Source organism: Homo sapiens, chromosome 8 (genome assembly GCF_000001405.40).
Source record: "Homo sapiens chromosome 8, GRCh38.p14 Primary Assembly".
Classification (NCBI taxonomy): domain Eukaryota; kingdom Metazoa; phylum Chordata; class Mammalia; order Primates; family Hominidae; genus Homo; species Homo sapiens.
The window spans coordinates 116,217,796-116,239,669 of record NC_000008.11 but is presented as its reverse complement, the minus strand read 5'-3'; the positions used below and the strand labels follow the sequence as shown (position 1 = coordinate 116,239,669).

Genomic DNA, 21,874 nt, shown 5'->3' with positions numbered 1-21,874 from the left:
TGTGATCTGCCCACCTTGGCCTCCCAAAGTGCTGGGATTACAGATGTGAGCCACTATACCTGGCCTTCTTTTTTAAAAAATATAAAATGTATTGAAATTATGGCAGGTACTAGAGCTATGTCATAAAATCCACAGCCCTTCTCTCAAAGAGTAGCATGAATGACATAAATAGAGAGTTCATAGTGTTACAATGTGTTGAATGAGAAAGCACAAGTTACCATATGGGCTCCTCACACAGTCTGTGGGAGAGTTGGGGTTAGAGAAGACCTGTCAGAGGAGCTGACAGCTGAGTTGAGAGCCAAAGAATTCATAGGCATTAGCTAGGTAAAGAAAGGGGCCTACTCATCAGTATGATTAATTTATCATCATGGTATGGGATTATAAAGAATGATGCTGGATTTTTGTTTCTCATCTTTCCTGACATATCTTGGAATAAATCATGCTCTGCTTAGTATGGCTCATTAGGGTAAATGATATCTGGTTGACCGACCAGCATAGATTCTTTTGATACCAGCACAAGTGTAGGAAACAGCCAGCATTTCTTTGTTGGTATTCCTAGTGCCTGTGGCCTCCTGTCTCCCCCTCTCACTATAGAAGTGGGATATGACTCAAGCTGGGCCAATCAGAACCACATGCCCCTGACCCCAGTAAGTGTTCAATGATGGGTGCATGACTCAATCTAGACCTGTAAGACCCGGTCTCGGGACTTTTCCTAGAACCACTGCGAGGAACATACTTTCTCTCTCTTGGGGTGCTAAGCTGGCTGGTTGGAAGCCTGGTGTGGGTGGTCATCTTTGCACCCCTTGGCAAATGCTTAACTGAGAAGGATGCTGATATACAGGAAAGTAGAAATTAGCAATGGCGAGAGGCAGAATACTGATTTCATGATTGGAGCATGAATCCCTCTGTGCTTTCTGAAGCAAGCTCAGTGTTTGGGATTTTCACATTTATAAATCAATATATTCCTTGTTATGCTTGAGCCCATTTGAGTTGGGTTCCTGTCACAGGTAACCAAAATATCTTGCTCAATACGTTTGGTTACTTTTGATGTGGTTTCTACTCAGTTAGTGCTCGGGAATGCAACAATGATTAACTCATTTTTATTCTAGTAAATGAGGGAATACAGATAATCAGAGCAATGAAGCACTTCTCGAAAAATGGTCTGTGGTCAACTGGATGGGATAGAACAGTGGAAAGACTATGCTCAGGAGAATTGGAATCTCGGCTTATCACTTATTTTAGGGTGAATTTGGGGAAGTCATTTAGTATTTGTAGGTTTGGAAAAAACTTGGCTCTATGCATCACATTTATAACCTGAGTTTCCTGTGAATAACATGTGAATATAAGATCATATTAATAGTATATTAGCAGCACTGCCCTCTTGTATTCATTCATTCATCAGGAAGCTTTAGTACTGAGAAAGCAGCCCTCAAGAACTGCTAGAAGTGCTCCCAGGTTGTAGTACACCAGCTTACAAGGAAGTCTCCTTGTGGATACTGAGACACTCCAAATTGACCAAAGATAAGAAGTGGTGAAATAAGCAAGAAATAGCTACTATCATTTTTGTTACTTTCTGTTGGAGGAAAGCTCAAACAGTATAGCTTAGGCTGAAATATTTTCCATACATTTTAGTATAACAGATAATTTAATCTTTATTATGCCTCTCTCTTCTAAACCAGAATAATTAGCTGGGCTTTACTGGGTACTTATTATGTGTCAAGCACTGTGAATTAGTGCTTTATATCAATTAATTCATTTAATTCAAATGACACTACATGGTATTATTATGTATTATTAACCCTATTTCACAGATGAAGTATCAGAAAGGGTAAGTAACTTGTCCAAGTTTACAGGGCTAATAACCTAATAAGTGGTAAAACTGGAATATGAATCCAGGTACGTGACCCTCAAGGTTGTACTGTATTTGATATCCCCTTCCTAAGATGGTGTGAGTTCATAGGATTTGGTTTGGCTGGATTTGGTAGCAAGATACTGTGGATGTTAGCATTCACCATTGCCTTCAACGACTGAGGCTTTGTTTCTGGACCAAGATGGTTGGGTCTGCCTCCTTTAGGACATGTTCTCTTTGAAGAAGATCTTCATGAACATACACAAAGAGATTAATGGCAAGGGAAGATGCTGTGATCAGTCTTATCTACCCATTACACGTGATCTGGGATACCTGAATCTTAGAGCCCATCTGGGGCCCTTGCTAAGCAATCCTGGATGGCGGGTGGAGAAGAAACATGTATGAGTATCTGCAATGTTCCCAGCTGAGCCTCTTCTCAAACTTGTGAATAAAAGAACAGCAAAGGAAATATCTTCTTATTAATTGGGTTTACAGAAGTGTTGCCCATTCGTTGTGATGTCAATAATTATGGGTCTTGAACACTGGTTTCCTAAGTGTGAACATAGGTCAAACTTTTCTGATGTATTACTAATGCTCAGATTAATCCACTGACCCTGGTTTTTATGTATATGGGGATGTATTATGTACAGATATTTTCTGGTGCATAGAAACACTGCTGAGTGGTGATGAAGGCTTTACTTCCTCCTCCAGCATGCCAATTTACATCTATTTAAATGTATTACCCTAAAAAATCTTGCCGTATTAGCAAAGTCATCTCTGACTCTTCTCTCTCACCTTAGAACTACTGTAGTTCTTATAGCCTAGGCCAGAGTTTCTTAACCTCAGCAATTTCAGCACTGATGGTATCTGGGCTGGAATTCTTTATTGTGGGGATTGTTCTATGTATTGTACGATATTTAGCTGTATCTCTGTCTTCCACCTCCTAATGCCAGTAGCACATATACCCTTAGCTGTGATAATTAAACATGTCTTCAGGGCTGGGGGCAGTGGCTCATGCCTGTAATCCCAGCAGTTTGGGAGGCTGAGGTGGGCAGATCACGAGGTCAGGGGTTTGAGACCAGCCTGACCAACATGATGAAACCCCGTCTCCACTAAAAATACAAAATTTAGTCGGGCATGGTGGCGCATGCCTGTAATCCCAGCTACTCAGGAGGCTGAGGCAGGAGAATCACTTGAACCCAAGAGGCAGAGGTTGCAGTGAGCCGAGATCACGCCATTGCACTCCAGCCTGGATGACAAAGCGAGACTCCATCTAAAAAAAAAACAAAAAATGTCTTCAGACATTAGCAAATGTTCTGGAACAGTAAAATGGCCTCACTTGGGACCACTGGCCTATGTCAAACAATTTAGTTTTAAATACACATTCATATAATTTTCTAATTGTCATAATTATTCATATTTCCTCAAGAAGATGGCATATATCTGAGGCAGAAACTATGTTTTGTTGTATACCTTCTGTTCTCCCAAATGTGAAGGCAAAAGGAAAAAGGAAAGGCAACTAATATTTGCTGTGTGCCAACCTTGTGACTGAATATTTGTAAGTGCTTTGCATGTGTCATTTCATCAATTCATTCCATAAATATTTATCAAGTGTCTACTACTATATGGCACTCAAGAGACTGTGTTCAAATCCTGGCTTCTCTGCTTAGTGTGGTCTTGGGTAACTCAATCTCTCAGTGCCTCAGTTTCCTCACCTATGAAATGGGGGTAATAATATCATCTATCCCATGGGGCTGTGTGTTTTATGGGTTGAAAGATATGGGCTTATGTTCTAATGTGGTCTCACACAACCCTCATGAAATCTATATGCTAATATAATAGCCCCATGTAACAGGTGGGGAAACTGAAGCTCAGTGAGAGGAAGTTATTTGCCGAAGGTCACACATCTATTAGGTCCCAGGGCCAGAGTTTGAATCCAGCTCTTTCTGGCAACAAAGCCATACTGAGTAGTGAGTATGTTCTCAATGCCCTTGATGATGACTAGACTGCTTATTTTCCCTTTTCATTTATTTTTTTCCCTGTTGCTTTTTTTTCATCTCTCTTTCCCAAAGACTCTTGGTAACCTCCTTTAAGTTTTATGAGTAGATTTAGTTTCACCAGAGCACATTACAATGAATACTTGGGGATAATTATTTTGCTGTGACCACCCTGCTATCTCTGCTGATGAACCGATCCTGGTCTTCAGATATATGAAATTTCATTGAAAATGAAATGTCCACAGTGATTCATCTTTGCAGCAAATGGGTAATGTGTACTTTGGGGTTTAAAAATAGAGATGAGTCAAGAAAATCATATGTTTCCTATTTTTAAAAAACACTTTTCAAAGATTTGGGTGCCTCTCCACCCCTTACCATCATATTAAACATGATGACCATAATTGGGGTACACATCCAAACAGAATCTAAAATAGCTCATTCCTTTCCAATTATAACATTTAGAAATGCTGTTTATCAAAATAATAATTTCAGCTATTTCTAGTCAAATTTCATGTTGGCTCAGGGACTCTCCAATGTCAATATTCTTCATCCTGGGCTATCACCACACAGAATGTGGTGAATGATTGAATGATCCTATAACATTCTTCCTTGCTCTTTCTCTCTCTGGATGTGGTAATTGAGGCACTGGGGTCATGAACACTGACTACCTTCTTGCTAAATGACTCTTCTGTTATGATTTTCCTGGGACTCAGCCCATGTGAATTTACGTGCTCTACTTCATAGTGGGTGTGGAGGAGGAGCAGCCAGCAATGGTTAGTCTTCAATCTGAAAACTTGCAGTGAAAACCCTATGTTTTGTACCTCTCAAGTCAGTTCCCTGCTTTAGCAGGAAAACTGGCCTGTTGGCTGGTATAAGTTCTATGTCCTTAGCTCACCTTGATAACAATGAGATGTTGATTTTCAGGTTAATTGGAAACAGTTTTCTGTATTTTAATGAAATGTTATCAAACTGTATCCTGAAAAAACATGCTGTGCAAAAAAAGCTTGCTTTTTGGTGGCAAGGTGGAAGACAGAAAGTTCCCAAAAAATTCTTTAAGTTAAAATATATGCTTTGTATTTGCAATTGAATTTTTATTTGAAAAAAAAAAACCCACTTCATTTTCAGTGACTTTACATGGCTATCTTTGTGAACAAAAATGATATCCAAAAAAAGAAAATAAGGAAGAAAAGTAAGAAGAAAGAAAGGATGAAAAAAGAAAAAAAGAATGATTGAATGAACAACAGCAAAGACAAACCAAACTTTGTAGCTGTATTTTTGGGGCCACCTATATCCTCTTCTTGGGACTGATCTTCACTTCCACTGAGGACTTGGAAATGTTCGCTTGGGTCTATGTGTGTCTCTGTGTGCTTCTTTCCTCATGCTGCAAGACCTACCAGGTTTTGGAAATCTACCTCACTTTCAAGTCACACTTCCAACTCAAGGATCTGCATAAAGGCTCCCAGATCTGCTCTCCCTTATATCCCAGGATCAGTACCTGGCATATTAAAGCAGGTGTGTCAGTAATGCTTCAATATGGCGGCCACCACACCACTCTGCAGTTTCCTAGTTATAAATTTACTCTCATCCCATGGTATACATTCTTAAAGGTGGCTCATCCACTGCCAAAACTGTTTGTAGAATAGACAGGCAGTATTGTCCCTATTCTGCCTCACATGGAGAAAACATAATCTTGTCTCTGTCTTTGCCCTGCCAAGTCTCCGTATGTATCTGGCACATTTAATGTGTTTACTATCAGTTAACAACATGAATGTGCCTGGAATCCCTACTTTATACACACAAACACACACACACACATTTGTTAAATAGGCCAAGAAAACACCAAAGCTCCAACTGTGAACAGTCAGTTTTGTGAGAAACACACTAATTTTTAAAAGGCACAGGAACTTCAGAAGGTTGATTTTGAGACAATATGACCTTGCTCTGCTTCAGGAGAAATAAGACTGTTAGAAAGAGGAGCTAGAGCTTGACAGTGAGCAAGACACTCATGGCAGAGAATGCTTCCACCAGCTGAAATGCATCCTACACTGACCTTGATTTTTCTCTAGACTTTTCTATTACGGTGCCTTTCTCCTCTGATATTTCCTTGCCCTGAAGATCCAGCTAAAATTCAGTTTCCCCCAAGATCTTCTATGAATAGTTGTTGTTTTTCCTTCTCTGAATCACCACTGCATTTTGGGCTTCTTTTGTGGTAACTATGATGCTCTTTTCTGGGTTTTTGTGCACTTGACTCCTTAGCATTGAGTTAAGGGATTGTGTCTTTCTTGCCTTTCTTGGAATCACATTTCCTAGCACAATGATAAGAATACTTATGGCTTCTTAATACATGTTTATGGCATGAATGGAAGGAGGGACTTGATACTTTATTTTAAATGTGGAGGGTAAGGATGTAGGTTAAGAACGTAAATATTGACATTCGGTTTTGGGTTCAAGTACCACCAGCTCTGTGAATAAGGTTGGGAGGACTAGGAGCAGTCATTGAGAAAGACTGAAAATAATAATGCTTACCTGTGACCTCCCTAGGATTACTATGTGAATCATGTGAGTTAATGTAGGCATTGCAGTTCGTGAACTATACATTGCAAAGAGATTTAATACTCGACTTCATACTCAATAGGTCTCCCTGCACTGCATTTGTCTCTTCTTTCTCATTAATGCTAACAAGAATATTTCCTTTGGTATACAAATTTAGTACAGGTCTACCAACAAGCGAATGATAGGTTAGTGAGTAGATTGGTCACTGAGACACATGTATAAGAGTTCAGGTCAGAGCTATGGTACATGCAGTGGCTCTGTTAAAGAAACATCAGTCCTCATATATGTATATGTAGGCACAGATGTTTCAGTGTTGAGCTTTTAATATACTCCCCTTTATACAAGTGAAATAACCAGTCTTACAGTTCCATAAATCTACCAGGTCTTCAATATGGTCTTGATTCAATCAATCAATAAACTGAAGGAATAATCCCTTTTTGTGATTATTGAATTGTTGAGGGTGTTTTCTAGTTTGGAATAGACTAGGTATAACTTCTCTACATTTCAAAAGTGTTTTTGAGAATCAAAAGAAAGAATAGAGTAAGTGCTAAAAATAATTGACAAATGATTGAACCTTCACTTAACCATAGCATCAGAGACGCTCTCTTCATCACTGGAGAGAATATTCTTTGAAATCCCTTTTCAAGAGTGAAATCAATAATGTCTACGTAGAAACAGAAAAGGAGAGAATTCAGAACTAAACATCCTCATTGAATCCACATACCTAGGCTATTTCAGTGTACATTAAGCCTTATCGGTACCATTATACTTCATGATGTTTGCAGCCGCAGTTTTTTTTTAATCTAGTTTTAAAAATAGAAATCCAAATACAGAGGGCAGAGAAAAACTCCCTATTGCATCAGTATGAACATTTTTATAGTTTTTTTTTTTCTTTTGGCATCCTGATCTCTTTGAAACTTCTCTCCTCTCTACTTATAGGGAAAATACACGTACTAACAGCCTGGAGGAATTATGAAATGTGCTTTGCACAACTCTCTGTGGCCTCAGGTAACAATGTAAATGAACCTTATTAGACAATTTTTTTTTCTGTACATGGGAGGAAATTATTTTTAAATGAGATTTTTTTTTTTCTTTTGGATTCAATAAAACTGCTCGTCTTGAATGAAGAAGAACCACATGAGAAGGAATTAGGACATGTTACAATTCAGCTGCTTGAGTCAGACGTAAAAAGAAAAAAAAAACCTGGCATTTCTGAGGTGGAAAAAGCTAGGTCTTGCTTGGTAGGAATCACAAAAATAACTGCTGAAAATCCTCAAACTTTCCAAGAGAAACTTCTTTAAAAGTTATGTGTAACTAAAAATAGGGGGATTATAATGGAAGTCAGTGTGCGTGTGTATGAAGTCCCAGAGCAGCCTAGGAGGCGTGGGCTGGAAACTCAAAGTTTGTGATATTAAATCTGTCCGCAGATTTAAATCTGTTGGCTGGAAGAGCATTTAACTCGGAGAGGTCACCTGTGTTCTTTACTTGTAAAATGGAAATCTCAAACAGGTCTCAATGAAATGAACTTTAGGTTTATCATTTAGCTTCCAAGAAAAACCCACTAGCTACACAAAGGAATGACGACAATTGTCTTGAAGGGCTGTAGAAAGCTTGGCTCATGGCTGCGGTGGCTTTGAACAATGTAATGCAATCCTAAAGTGGTAGAGACCTCATCCTTGGGAGCATTTGTTTCTAGACCGAGATCTTAACTGTGGTCAGACCTTGAGAAAACCTCTAACTCAACATGACTGGGGGGTCTTCTAAAGGAAATAGCAATACTTCACCACAACAAAGAATGTGTGAACAAACACTGTTCTAAAATACAATGGCGCCAGGGGCTGGGCGTGGCATGGGGGTGTAGCAGAGGAGGGGCTGGGAGTAACTGCTTAATGGGTACGAGGTTTCTTTTGGGGATGATTAAAAACCTTTTGGAACTAGATAATTCATTTATTAAATGTAAATTTATTTAATAAGTGCCACTGAATTGTTTACTTTAAAATGGTTGATTTTAAGTTATATGAATTTCACTTTCATCGAAGAAAATATATGTGTGATTCAACTTAGAAGGAGCTTACTCAATGCAATTTAATTGCGTCACTGCTGGCAGATATGTGTAAGGGTCTTCTAATGATTTTGGATGGAATGGCTGCAATTTATAATTCTGTTCCTTTTCAGAAAAAAAAAAAAAAAAAAAAAAAAAGGAAGGCCTTAACAGCCTTCATTGGAAAAGATGCATGGCTAAAACAGAGACAGATACACATTTAGAAGATGAGGTGATTTTTTTTTTTAAACTGGAGTTGTGTTTTGTTTTTGTTTTTACAAATAACATAATAATTGCTTTTTGATTTTAATTTGCAGAAATGGAACTTAGCAGACAGAGGGAACAAATGAATAGGCAAGTTAGAGGTTGAAATTTAACCTTTGGTGTTTTGATGACACACAGCCCTTCTGAGGCATCTTGACTCATCCTCATTTCAAAAAGCACTCGATTGAAAGGAATGTGGACTCAGAAAGAATTTAGTACGATTGAAAATTGATTGAAGAGAGCTTCATCAGCTTGCCCTACATGCCAGGACATAGTCACTGCATTCTATACTGCCCCTTTCTTTTTCATTCTCCAGTGTCCCTTCTTTCTCAAGCATACCCTCAATCCATTAAGTAAAATCACTAATCTCCCTTTTGAACCTCTTCCTTGTTTCTTGCTTCCATTGTCGTTGAATGCTTCAGTGAAAACATTCCGGATGTGAGATGTCATACCAGGTCAGGACCAGTCAAGGAACCAATTTCTGCAAATACATCAGTTGTTTCTAATCTAATGATGAGGTTCACACCCAGCATCCTCCCATTTGCTGTGTCTCTCTCCAGGTGGAGCTCCAGACTCTTGGGTGCCAGATGATTAAGACTTGCTTCTAGCAGGGGTTGGAAGCAGCTGCTCCCATATCAAACCTCTTTTTCTCTCAGCCAGTTGCGGCAGAGTCTACACCCAGCTGTGAATCTCGGTGCCCACTGGCAGCTCTCATCTCTACCGACAACCTTTCATCTCTATTCTCTATAAACTTCTCTTAATATCTGCTTGTTAAACCTGACAGAATGGCATTAGAACAAAGGTAACCTGGGCTGCTGCAATGCTGGCAGCATCATCTGTCAGGCCTTTTTGTTTCTCCCTTTGATAAAGTTTTGCCTGGCTATTATTGTCGAGGCCTTGTTGGATGGTTCTGAGGCCTCAGAGCAGAAAGGCATCCATCTGTTGCAGAAAGCTCAAAGAGTGATGCAGTCCTGGGGCATATCCTGAGTTGAGTCATGTATTTCTTCCCCCAAATTATTCCCAGTGACTATCAAATCAAACCTTTCCATCTCAGCTTATATAAGTACTTGAAAACCTTTTGAAATAGAACTCTTCAACTTGGTTGTTCTACTTAAAAATCCCAGAAGCAAGATTTTAGGAAGTTGCAGTAAATGGTCATAAAGATGAGTTGCTTTTTAGGGGTGTCTCAGAAAAAAATAGCATGAAGTGAAGATGAGACATTAGATCTTCTCATATAAAAAATAAACTATTTGTGCTATAGCATGACATCTCCCTCCCTCTCTGAAGCCCAGCTGGCATATGAATTGACATGATCAGAGATCAGAGTGCTGTCTGGACAGACAGAAGGGAAAGCTTTGCAAATCCATATTGCTACCAAGAGCCCATCCTGTCTTCAGACAGGTTAAGAGCCCTTTCTAAGAACAGGGCATCATAACTGTGGCTAACTCCAGTTCTAAGGTGTTCTCTTCAGGAGTAGCGACTGGCTTTCCACCTGCCGTCTTCCTACAGACCTGAAGAGGTTGGATAAGGACCATGGAAGTGGCCCTCTAAAACTTATGTAGCATAACCCTTGCCAGAAGGGTAGGTACATAACACATACCATTGCCATTTGATTTGGAAGCATAGGCAACAAGCCAAAGCAGAGGAAGTGGCAAGTCAAAGTGTCCCTCCTGGAGAAGGGCATCAATAATTTACATTTTCCAGACTAGCCTTTAAACCTTTGGAGCCTGGATGCTGTGGCTCACACCTGTCTCAGCACTTTGGGAGGCTGAGGAAGGCAGACTGCTTGAGTCCAGGAGTTCAAGACCAGTGTAGGCAACATGGTGAAACCCTGTCTCTACAAAAAACAAACAAACAAAAACAAAAAAACAAAACAAAACAAAAAAAACAAAGAAATTATCCAGGCATGGTGGCTCATGCCTGTAGTTCCCGGTACTTGGGAGGCAGAGGTGGGAAGGCCACCTGAACCCAGGAGGTTGAAGCTGAAATGAGTGGTGATGGCGCCACGGCATGCCAGCCTGGGTGACAGAGTAAGATCCTGTCTCAGAAAAAAACAAAAAAACAACAACTCTGGAGCAGCCCCTCTGCCACTTCCCAGTCCCACTGCTGGCTGAGAAAGGATTCCATAGTAGTAGCTATAGGATCTTGATTCACATAGTTCTCTTACCTTTATAACTGAATTTTCCATAGCTGCTTGTTTTAACCAATGTAAAGGCATGTACTAAAATTGAAATGTTCTTTGTGATCATCTCTGCCTTCCCCTACAGAACCTAACAGGTCAGGATCACAGTGAAATCTCCAAGAATATCATTGCCACCTCTTCCCTGGCAGAGGGCATCACCTGGAGATGAAAACTCAGAGTGTTGCTTTTAGCTCCTTACGTGTGTCTTAACATATGGGGCACATTTGTAAGAAAGAAAAAGACATTCTTTCAAGAACTGTAGGTCATCGCGTTGGGAACAATGCTATAGCATAATATTATTTAAACACAGTTAATGTTGGCCGCAAGTTCGAGAACAAACAGATGAGATGCCTGGTTCTCTGCTCCCCCACACCTATCCTCCTCACAAGCTATGCCAGGGAGAGACTTCCCATCTCTAGACTTTTCTCCTTATAAGGTGTGGTTTTTGGCATGAAGAATTCTGCTTGGACATGGAAGACTCCAAGCACTAAATCATGTCTCCTACTCCCTGCTCCCTGACAGCAACTGTGCCCAGGTCCAAAAGGAGAACTGCGTAGGTGTGTCCTAATAGGAGACAGTGTTCCTACTCTAATTGCCATAAAAGCTTTTGAAGCCATTGTCTGGTGGATCTAAGGAGATCGATCCTGAAGGTGTGAGCTCAGAGCTGCAAGTCAGGAGCTCAGAGTTGTAATTCTTGGGTTGGCAATGATTCATTGTAGGGCCTGAGGCAAACCCAGTCATCTTGTTTGTGCACAAATTTATTTGTCTGCAAAAGTTCGAGAAATTAACACACAATTTCCTGATGAGGATATTATATGGTTAGGCATTAATAATCATGGCATATAAGTTTGATGGAAAGCAACCCCAGGGATTTGATCTGCTTGAAGCCTTTATGTATTCTTTGTAGGCTTTGTTATTCTTGTTTCCAAGTCTGGACTTTCCTCTTTGGAGGTCTTTAAGTCCCCAGTAAGGAAATTCAAGTTCCCTTGAAGTTTTGTTCTAATTTTGGGAAGCACAGATGATTTTTTAGGACTGTATGACATGGTGGTTTTGCTAAAGAGGTCTTCTCACCTACTGCAAAGACCCCCTGCTACCCTTTAGGACCAGATGCCATGCAGGATGGGAACTAACTTCTGTGGTGGGACCACGTTGTCTCTGAACCCATCTGTGTAAAAGCTTCCTGTGGTCTTGAGTCTTGGCAGAGCTATTGCGTCAACCAAGAAGCAACATAAAGACATCCGCCTTTGTTGATGCTCTTCTTCTGTGTCTGATGAAACAACCCTTTTGGGGATAAAAAAAGTCAAAATGAAAAATTATGTGTCAATAAATGGAAATTGAATGAATGTGTTAGTATTAATTTGTTACATTTTACATGTGCTCCTCTGAAGAAGTGGTGTTTATATTCAGGCCCAGCTGCAGACTTCCAGAAAGCTAAAGTAAGAAGGGACCCAAGAGAAATTGATCCAGCAGCCCCCACATGGCTTCTATCCCAGTCGGATTCTCCTGATTTGCTTACTTCTCCTTGGAACGCAGTGCAATTCCTAAGTGCTCCAGTCTCTGTGTGGACTGGCCTCTGCTCTCTGTCTTCCATATTTTAGCTCTCTTGAGTCCTGAAGCACATTTCTGTCTCATCTACTTAGTCCTGCTGTTAAATCTCTGCCACCATGCCTGTCTCTTCAGCTCACTAGATTTTACACTCGTTAGCCAGTGGCTGTGAAAGGAAATGACAGCAGAATTTCTCATGGGCTTGGCTCCCATCCAGCATGGAAAACGTACTGAGTTGATGTCTCCCAGAGCCATCTTTAACTCAGGTGTCCCCATTTCATTGGGATCAGCAGATTTCCTACATCTGTGGTGTATGACATTGTAAAGAGTTCAATCTGGAGACTCATTTTCCCCTCCTGTGTCCATATTCCGTGTTTAAGCCAAGGAGTCTCCCCATAGATCTCAGGCTGAAAAAGTGCAGATTGTATCAGTGCTGCTTTAGCAGTGCCCTGTGGAATAAGACACCTCCTGCTCAATGTTCCCTGTACTGCTTTTAAGGTGTGAACAGACGACCAGGATCTGTGAGCTGACAACCATACTGTGTGAGCACCAGAGTTGGTGAGTGGAACTTTGCTAGTGGCTTGGGACTGGAAGAAAATGATGGAATACAGGCATTCCATTGTTATTTATTCATTTGCTCAGTCTTTCATTCACCCAACAAGCGGTTACAGAACTCCTATTGTGCTGAGCACAGGTTGGTCATTGAGATATGATAGAATAGCATTTATTGAGCGCCTACTGAAGAGTAGGTCCTGTGCTAACTTTGAACCTCCCACAATCATAAGAGACTGTGCTATGATTATTTCCACTTTAAAAAGAGGAAATTGACACTTAGGGATGTTAATGTCACATAGTCAGCAAGTGATGGAGCTAGGATTTCAATGCAGACAGTCTCACTCAAATTCCTGAGTTCTTAACAGCTGTGCTATACTGCTTGAATACAAGATTTTGGCTAGACGTTATAGCAGATAGCAGATAACTATGACACAGTTTCTGTTTTCTAAAAGTTAATGATAGTAGAGGAAGCAAACAATCGCTGCACTGCCACTTACAGCTATATAATCTTGGACATATTACTTCTCTCTGCCTCAACTTCTTTGTCCTTAAAATGGGATCAATAATAGTTTCTATTTCTTCTGTTTTTTTTTTTTTTGAGGATTGAATTTTAAATGAAGGTTAAGTGTTAAATGCAGATTATGTGTTGTAATATAAAATAGGCAGTGTTTTGATGATCTGAGAATTGTTAGCTATTATTGTTTTTACTACTATTCACTATTAATAAGTAACAATATTCATTGTGAGACAACTGTATACTAGAAAATATGTTAATCACTTAGGGATCTATAGTGAATGGGATATATAGTCTGGGTCCCCCTTTACACTTTCATTTGCGTGAAGGTAATGAAAACTAAGTCTAACAGTAAGGAAATGAGAGCCCTTTTGGGAATAGTTTCTGCTTGAGACAAAGAACAAAATGTTGAGATAGTCAATAACTTCCTTAACTCCCCCAAGAACAAAAGAGCAACATGGAGGTTGGCCCAAAGGGGAGAGAACAAAGAAGCTGCTATAGTTGGCTTAGGGGAAGTTGTTTGGGAGCAGCTAAGAAGGAAGAAAAACAGAGAAGAGCAGCAGGCAGGTCTGGGACTCCCCGGGTGATTTCATGGTCTTTTGTTGGGGACACGGGCCACTTACATCTTCCCCATTTCTCTAGTGACCCCAAAGGCATCCTGAAAGCTCATTGATAGGTTTCCCTGTCCTTCTTGGCTAGAAATAAATGGAAGGTGGAAGGGCAGAGGGGCTCTTGGGACCCTGCTGCCCTTTGGAAGGGCAGCCCCAGCTCTCCATTTTGCATTGTGAATCAACTCCATTGACTAAAGGGGCAGAAATCAATTTTGTTTTTCTATGCCTTCAACACAAAGAATACGTGTGTGAAGAAGGCCGATACAATACAATCTGTTAGGAGGAGATGGGAATCTGCAGATTTATTTGCTGTGTTCTAAGCACATGCTATGTGCAGAAATACAAATGCAAGGAAGAACAGTTTCCATTCTCAGGGAACTCAAATCCTTTCCTTCCCACTTCCTTTGCCCCAGAGGTGGACTTACTCCTTCTCTTTGGCCTTGCATATAATATTACCATGGACACTAGTTGGTCCTTCCCCCTAAAGATTCAATGATTTGAAGAATGAGACTTAGAAAGCTGCTTTGCTTCTGAAAGTAGAAATGTTTTGGAGCAGAAAATAAAAGTAGAATTTGAAAACTCTTTGTTGAAGATCTTAAAACTTACTTTCGTTGTTTTGCTGGTGGCAAGAATCCTGGAGTATGATCAAATTGCCTAGAAACAATGAAATGACTACTTATTCTTCTTACATCCTCACAGTGACATGTCCCTTTAATTGTTGCAAAGAGAAGTTAGAGACGCAGGGCCCCCTGAGCCTGAGGCAGCACCACCACCACCACCAGCATGTCCTGCCTCTTCCCCTTAAATTCTTGTACACCCCGAAAATGCACTTTATTTTCAGATTGCAAAATAATCAAATAGACTCCCCCTTTTCAGGAAAGAACACCCTTTCCACCTCCCACAACTTGCTTTGTTTGGAACTGTTCATTCCTGGCAGTGATATTCTTACACCAGGAAAGAATGAGGAAATTTCACTGTCTTGGTGAAATTACCTCATTTGGGAATAATTGGTATTCACAGAAGAGATGCACATTTTCATCCACCTAGTAATGAACAAATTAACAAGACACCTACTGAGTTGTGTTAACAAAATTACCAAATGTAAAAGGAACTAATTACTAGCCACTTCATCCAGACAAACTCAAAACTGCATTCATAATGGGCTTTGTGTCTGACTTGATGTAGACTGTGGGGAAAAAGATTGAACAGGTGTCTGGTGATCAAAGACTCTGTCCTTGGTGATTGCTTTGCAAGTGGTGCCTGAGTCTCAAGACGGCTGAGATTGCTTCTAGAAGTCCTTCTTTCTCACTGGTGAAGATATCTGCAACTTTCTCACTTTTTTTCAGAGACAACTGATTGTTCTCTCTGAAACAATTGCAACCAAATCATATGGAAGTGAATTTTAGAAATAGTAATCTTTTAGGCCGGGCCTGGTGGCTCACACCTATAATCCCAGCAATTTGGGAGGCCGAGGTGGGTGGATTGTTTGAACCCATGAGTTCGAGACCAGCCTGGGCAACGTGGAGAAGCCCTGTCTCTACAAAAAATACAAAAGAATTAGCCAGGTGTGGTGGTGCACACCTGTGGTTCCAGCTACTCAGAAGGCTCAGGTTGGGGGATCACTTGAGCCCCGAGAGGCAGAAGTTGCAGTGAGCCGAGATCATGCCACTGTAGTCCAGCCTCGGCAACAGAGCAAAGAAATCTTTTGTGGAAAGAGGCAGCAAACTGCCGCTGTGATTATGGGGTCAGCTAGCCAAATTCACAAGTGGACCATGGCCTAGTGCCTGAAAGGATTCTTAGGAAGATTTCTTAAAGAAAAAAAGAAAGAAGGTAGGGCTATCATGTAAAAACTGAAATGTTGGTGTTTACTCACATCATATACTTCTCTTTTTAAATGATGTTTAAAACAGACTGGTGGGAGTTTTTTAGATTAGACAATTGTTTGGCCCCATCTTCATGAATTAAATCTAATTGCATGTGACAAAGATATTTTTCTTTGAATTTATCATATCCCTCCAGAGAAATCTGATGTAATTTTTAAACAATTTATTTTACATTAAATATTTCAATAATTCAACTGGGAGGTAAAGGAAAAAGTAGATTATGATAGACATTAACATGAATTAGAAGAATAGAGGAAGCCTTTACTCACTTCATTCATCTAATCTTCAATTCCACAAGTATTACTAATTAGCTAATAAAGTAGCCAATAAAGTTCTAAATGCTGGAGATAGAACAAGAAACAAGACAAGTAAAATCCCTACACTCAAACAGCATGCATGCTGAATGGAGCAAGACAGACAAAAAGAAACAAACAAGGAAAAGAATTAAAAAGATGATTTCAGGGAATGATAAACTGTATGAAGTTAAGGAAACAGGATGTGACAGAGTAATGGGGTGGTGGTCAGAGAAGGGTTGGAGCTATGTTCTTCCAGTTTGCCCAGTTTCCACTAGTCTAGATTTTATATGGGAACCACTTTGAAGAGCCAGTTCCAAATTCCTTACTAATCGCAGATTCTTTGATTAGATGTTCTGTGCTTTGTCATATTTTCATTGCTCAGCTGTATGTGCTAAGGTGTTGATTGTTCTCACTCATCTATACACTATATAATAAATCTCCCCCAGCAGCATCTGCCTCTAGGAAACCACTGGGATATCTGAGGAGAGGGTATCCCTGTTTTGCTAGATGGCAACATACTGAGTGGACCTCAGCATTAAGGCAGAATTACATGAGCAGCCAGCTCCAAGTGAGTACAGGTGGAAACAGAGTCTGGTGTCCCAAGAAGGAATCTCTCATCAGTGTTCCTGCACTCAGGGTAGGAGTGTGGTAGGAATGGGAGCTGGACCGAGACCTGTGCATTGAGAGTCATCAGGGCTTAATGAATGTTTGTTGGATGTATTACTAAATGAATGAATTGTTCAATTAATAAATTAAATATATCTATAATCTTGGAAATTTTCTCAAATATTAGAAGGTGGAGTCAATATGTGCTAGCAGAAAAGCCAACAACAACAATGACACACACACACACACACACACACACACACAGCTCATACTACTAAGTTTTCCAAAGCATGGTTATAAAATTACACTAAGGGCCTTCTCTGAGTTGGCCCCATAACAAGGGTTTTGTGTCAACATTTTTCTTTAGATGTTGCCTTTGAGACTTAACTCCAAGTGCTTTCTATTGCACTTCTAAGACTATGTGTGGTGTCTTATCTTTTACAGCTGGGGCCATTCCAAAGGAAAGCAAATATAGGAATGTTAGATCTTCTTTTGGATAAAGCTAGGAGATGAAAGTAGGAGAAAGTGGCATTATTAAAATTAGAAAACCGTTTAGCAAATTGGTGACTATTGTGAGGTAGGGGAAAGAGCAACAGATCAGGATGGAAAGTGCTGGCTGGTGACTTTGGACAAGTTTCAGCCTCCTCGAAGTGCAACTTTTAAAATATAGAAGTTGCTTTATGTTAATTTTCAAAATCATGTCTGTTTAGAGTCTCAGGGAAAAGAAACAGGATGATTCCTTGATGAAATGCACGACATCTTTATGCCTCTTTAGCAGAGGTTCATGGTGCACATTGGCACTGAAAGGCTCTGAAAGCCTTGTAATAAAAACACCTGTTTTACTTTGTTTAAAATTTCCACATTTTCCTTTTGATAACTGATGTATTAGGGAACCATTTTTCCTAAGAAACATGATTTTAGAGTAGTGCTCAAAACTCTATAACTGATATTAGTATGCACACATGCACTGCAAACCCACATCTCCTTCATTCCAAGCATTTCTCCCCCATTCTCTTGCTTTACCGAGTCACTTGCGTTTGAAGTTCATTCTAAGTTCAATTCACTTCTTTTACAAAGTCCTTGTTGGGAGAGAAATCTACCCTGTTAAAACTCTTAGCAGGAGTCACAACTTCCTAAATGTTCCAAAACCCAGTCCTTCCCAACTAAAAATCAGGGTTTTATGTAAAAACCACAGGCAAGGCATAGGAACTCTTCCTGTCTGTTGGTGTTTTTGCTAATTTTCTGGTAATAGGGTTGCCCTTTCCCTTATTATTCTTTTATACATATATAGAGGACATACAACTAAAAATATGTGTAAATAGGTGCAATTAGCTTATGTGCATAACTCAGCCAAGGATACTGCAGCATTTTGAGGGTTCTCCTGTATTGTAGCCCGTCTGGGCTGCTATAACAAAATGCCATAACTGGGTAGCTTAACAACAGAAATTTCTTTTTCACAGTTCTGGAGGCTGGGAATCCAAGATCAAGAGGCCAGCAGGAGATTCAGTGTCTTGTTGAGGGCCCACTTTCTGGTTCACGATGGCATGTTCTTGCTGTGTCCCCATATGGTGGAAGGGGAGGGCAGCTCTGTAGTGTCTCTTTTTAAGGGTACTAATCCCACTCATAAGGGCTTCACCTCATGACCTAGTCACCTCTTAAAGGCCCCACCTTCTAATACCATTGCATTGATAATGAGGTTTCAACATAGGAATTTGGAGGGGGGGGACATCAACTTCAGATCACAGCATTCTGAAATCTGTTGGTTTTGTGATATGTACAGGAATCCTTTTCTTCTTCTCCTTTACCCTTTTCTGACTTGGTCACCACTGAATTTTTAGTTTTGTTTGTTTGTTTATTTATTTTTTGAGACGCAGTCCTGCTGTATTGCCAGGCTGGAGTGCAGTGGCGTGATCTTGGCTCACTGCAACCTCTGTCTCCTGGGCTCAAGCAATTCTCCTGCCTCAGCCTCCTGAGTCGCTGGGATTACAGGCACATGCCACCACACCCAGCTAATTTTTTTTGTACTTTTTTTAGTAGAGATGGGGTTTAACCATGTTGGCCAGGATGGTCTCGATCTCCTGACCCTGTGATCCACCCGCCTCGGCCTCCCAAAGTGCTGGGATTACAGGTGTGAGCCACTGCGCCCAGATAAATTTTTAGTTTTAAACAGTTACTGGCAGAGAGTTGATAGATGTTAGCAAAAGATTGTGGGATAAATGAGTAAAGCTAAGGAGGGAAGAGTGAAGGAAGGAAGGAAAGATGGAAGGAAGGAAGGACGAAAGAAGGAAAGAAGAAGGGAAAGAGGGAAGGAGGGAAAGGGAAAGAGGGAAGGAAGGAGGCAAAGAAATAAGGGGGAAAGGAAGGAAGGAAGGAGGGACAGAGGAAAGGAAGGAAAATGTGGTCTCATTTTCTTTACTATTATAATCTGGGTGGTTCCTGCCAATTTTTAGAATTAGCATTCTCATTTTACATTGTACTATGCTATACACTGGAAGGTTTCTGCCATCAACCTAGTGAACCTTTCTTTTTTTCTTTCAATTATCCCATGGATATCTGTTTTTTAAGCTGGTGGTGGTCACTTGTTACCAGAGAGTAATTGTTACTTCGAGAGTAGCCACAGGCTGATCAATAATATGCTAATACTTTTGGAGAGATTCTGCTCCAAAAACATAATTGTTAAAAATTGTGTTCTATCATTTGGCTTGAAGCACAGCATGTAGTTGTCACAAGAGGACATTTGCTCCGGGGGTGAGTGTGACATTGATAGGATCTAATTTTGCACCCAATACAACAGATCGAAGAGCATCACTACTTTGCAAACCTTAAGTTTTGTCTGCTGTGTGGTGCCTATTTGTTGCCAGATTCTAATTTCCTAGTTTGCTCTGCCAAAACTGGCAGGCTAGCAGCTTTTCAAAAAAAAAAAAAAAAAATTAGGCAGAGGACATGATTTTCTGTAGCATATGATGAAAGCAGAGGATATAATTTTCCATAGCATATGATGAAAGCTGGAAAAAAAAACATGAAAGTACTAAAATCTCTTTATACAAATGCAGAGACTATAGGAGGTTGGCAAGAAGATCACTTTAACTGAGGGAAGGAGGTTATGACTACATTTAGATAAACAAAATCTGCTGAGATCATATCAATTGCTACAATACCATCCTTAAAAAACAATTACTGGCCGGGTACGGTGGCTCACGCCTGTAATCCCAGCACTTCGGGAGGCCAAGGCGGGTGGATCACGTGAAGTCAGGAGTTCAAGACCAGCCTGGCTAACATGGTGAAACCCTGTCTCTACTAAAAATACAAAAAATTAGCTGGGCGTGGTGGCACATGCTTGTAATCCCAGCTACTTGGGAGGCTGAGGCAGGAGAATGCCTTGAACCCGGAAGGCAGAGGTTGCAGTGAGCCGAGATCATGTCATTGCACTCCAGCTTGGGCAATAAGAGCGAAACACGAAACTCGGTCTCAAGAAAAAAAAAAGGTTAATTACCATAGAAGGATTGGATAAAGAAAAAAAAATGAAGAGATGACGTCTATATCAAAGTTTTTTTTACAAATATTAATGGGACATTAATTAGCATTGAGATAAGCCCTAAGTTGAATTGTGGCTTATGAGACAATAGCATTTCAAAGCCCTGAAATACATTGCCTGCTTCTGAGTGCTTCAAATGTGGTAGATGCTACATTCTTCAAAACATGGCTAACACCAGACATTATTTCACTTATTTAAAATTATTTGGATTTATTTACACATCAAACATATCAACTCCTGGGCTTTGTTGAGGATACAAAGATGCAAAGAATAGACATGATTTCAGCTCTAAAGGATTATGTGAACTATCAGAAGATTCACAGACAATTCTCATACAAGGCAGAATGGGATACTTACTAAATGAATGGTACAAAGAAAATCACCAGGAGTCCAGAGAAGGGAAAGTGTCACTTCTTCCCTGTGTAATCAAGGCAAGTGCTTTTGTGAAAGGTGGAATTGGAACTGGGCCTTGCACATCTTGTAGGATTTCCAGAAGAGGAGATGGGTCCGAAGAATTAACTGCAGAAAGGCAGTGAATGAACAGAGATGACAGAAAAGAAAAACACTGTCTTCTCTACCACGTTCACTTCTTCTCTGTTTTTCTTTTTACAGCTGCTGACAGCATCATCTCTACTGGGACACCCAAGCTGGGGATCTGCAAGTCATTCATGACTTTTAATTTTCCCTCACTAATCTAATGGGTCCCTATATTTTGCTGACTTCACTTTTTATACAGCCAGCAATTTGACTCTCTTCCTCCTCACTGAATCTGCCTTAGTGAGAATGTCATTACCTTATTGCTTATATTAATGCAGATGTCTTTCTCTGCCCTCCTTGTTTCCAGATTGTACCATCATAATCAACCCTTCATAGGGCTTCCTATCAGAGCAGAGGTTCTAATGACTCTCTATTCCCTGCAGGATGAAGTGCAAACTCTTTAGTATGGCCTGTGTTTTCCATGACTCGCCCCTGCCTACATCCATGGCTTCATCTACTACCTTTCCCCTCACAATGGTCTCTCCTTAGTAGATAGTGAAATATTAGTGTACTATTCTTTTTACATGAAAATGACATAGTGAAAGAGAAGGACTAGTTTAGCCTGTCTTTGCAGGAAAGATTGAAGAATAAAATAATGACATACTTTGAAGTTAACAGACATGGATTTGAACCCTAGATTTGCCATGAAATGTCTGAATGCCTTTGGTCAATTTACATAATGGCAGAAAGCCTTACAAATTCCTAGTGAAGATTAAACTCAATAACGCGGGCAAAGTGCTTAACAAAATTGCTGGAACATAGTACACCTCTACATGCTCAATAAATGGGAGTTAATTACCTTTTTTACCTCCCCTTCCCTTCCCAAATAGTATGCATTACCTTTTAAATTTTAAATTGAGAAGTTTACAGTTGAATTAAAAAATGCAATGAATCACACAGCACAAG

At 40.2% G+C, this 21,874-nt stretch overlaps 1 long non-coding RNA gene across 1 annotated transcript in view, besides 1 other annotated feature; it reads left to right on the top strand.

Moving 5' to 3' along the window:
- Positions 1-21,874, top strand: part of LINC00536 (long intergenic non-protein coding RNA 536) — a 374,549-nt gene that overhangs the window by 85,390 nt on the left and 267,285 nt on the right. The gene's annotated exons all lie outside the window — the stretch shown is intronic.
- Positions 7,846-8,372: an enhancer, noted in NCBI's record as "NANOG hESC enhancer chr8:117243536-117244062 (GRCh37/hg19 assembly coordinates)". NCBI's record gives its function as "activates a minimal SCP1, AML or CMV promoter by ChIP-STARR-seq in naive H9 embryonic stem cells {active_cell/tissue: H9 hESC(naive)}" and the evidence as "EXISTENCE:reporter gene assay evidence [ECO:0000049][PMID:30033119]".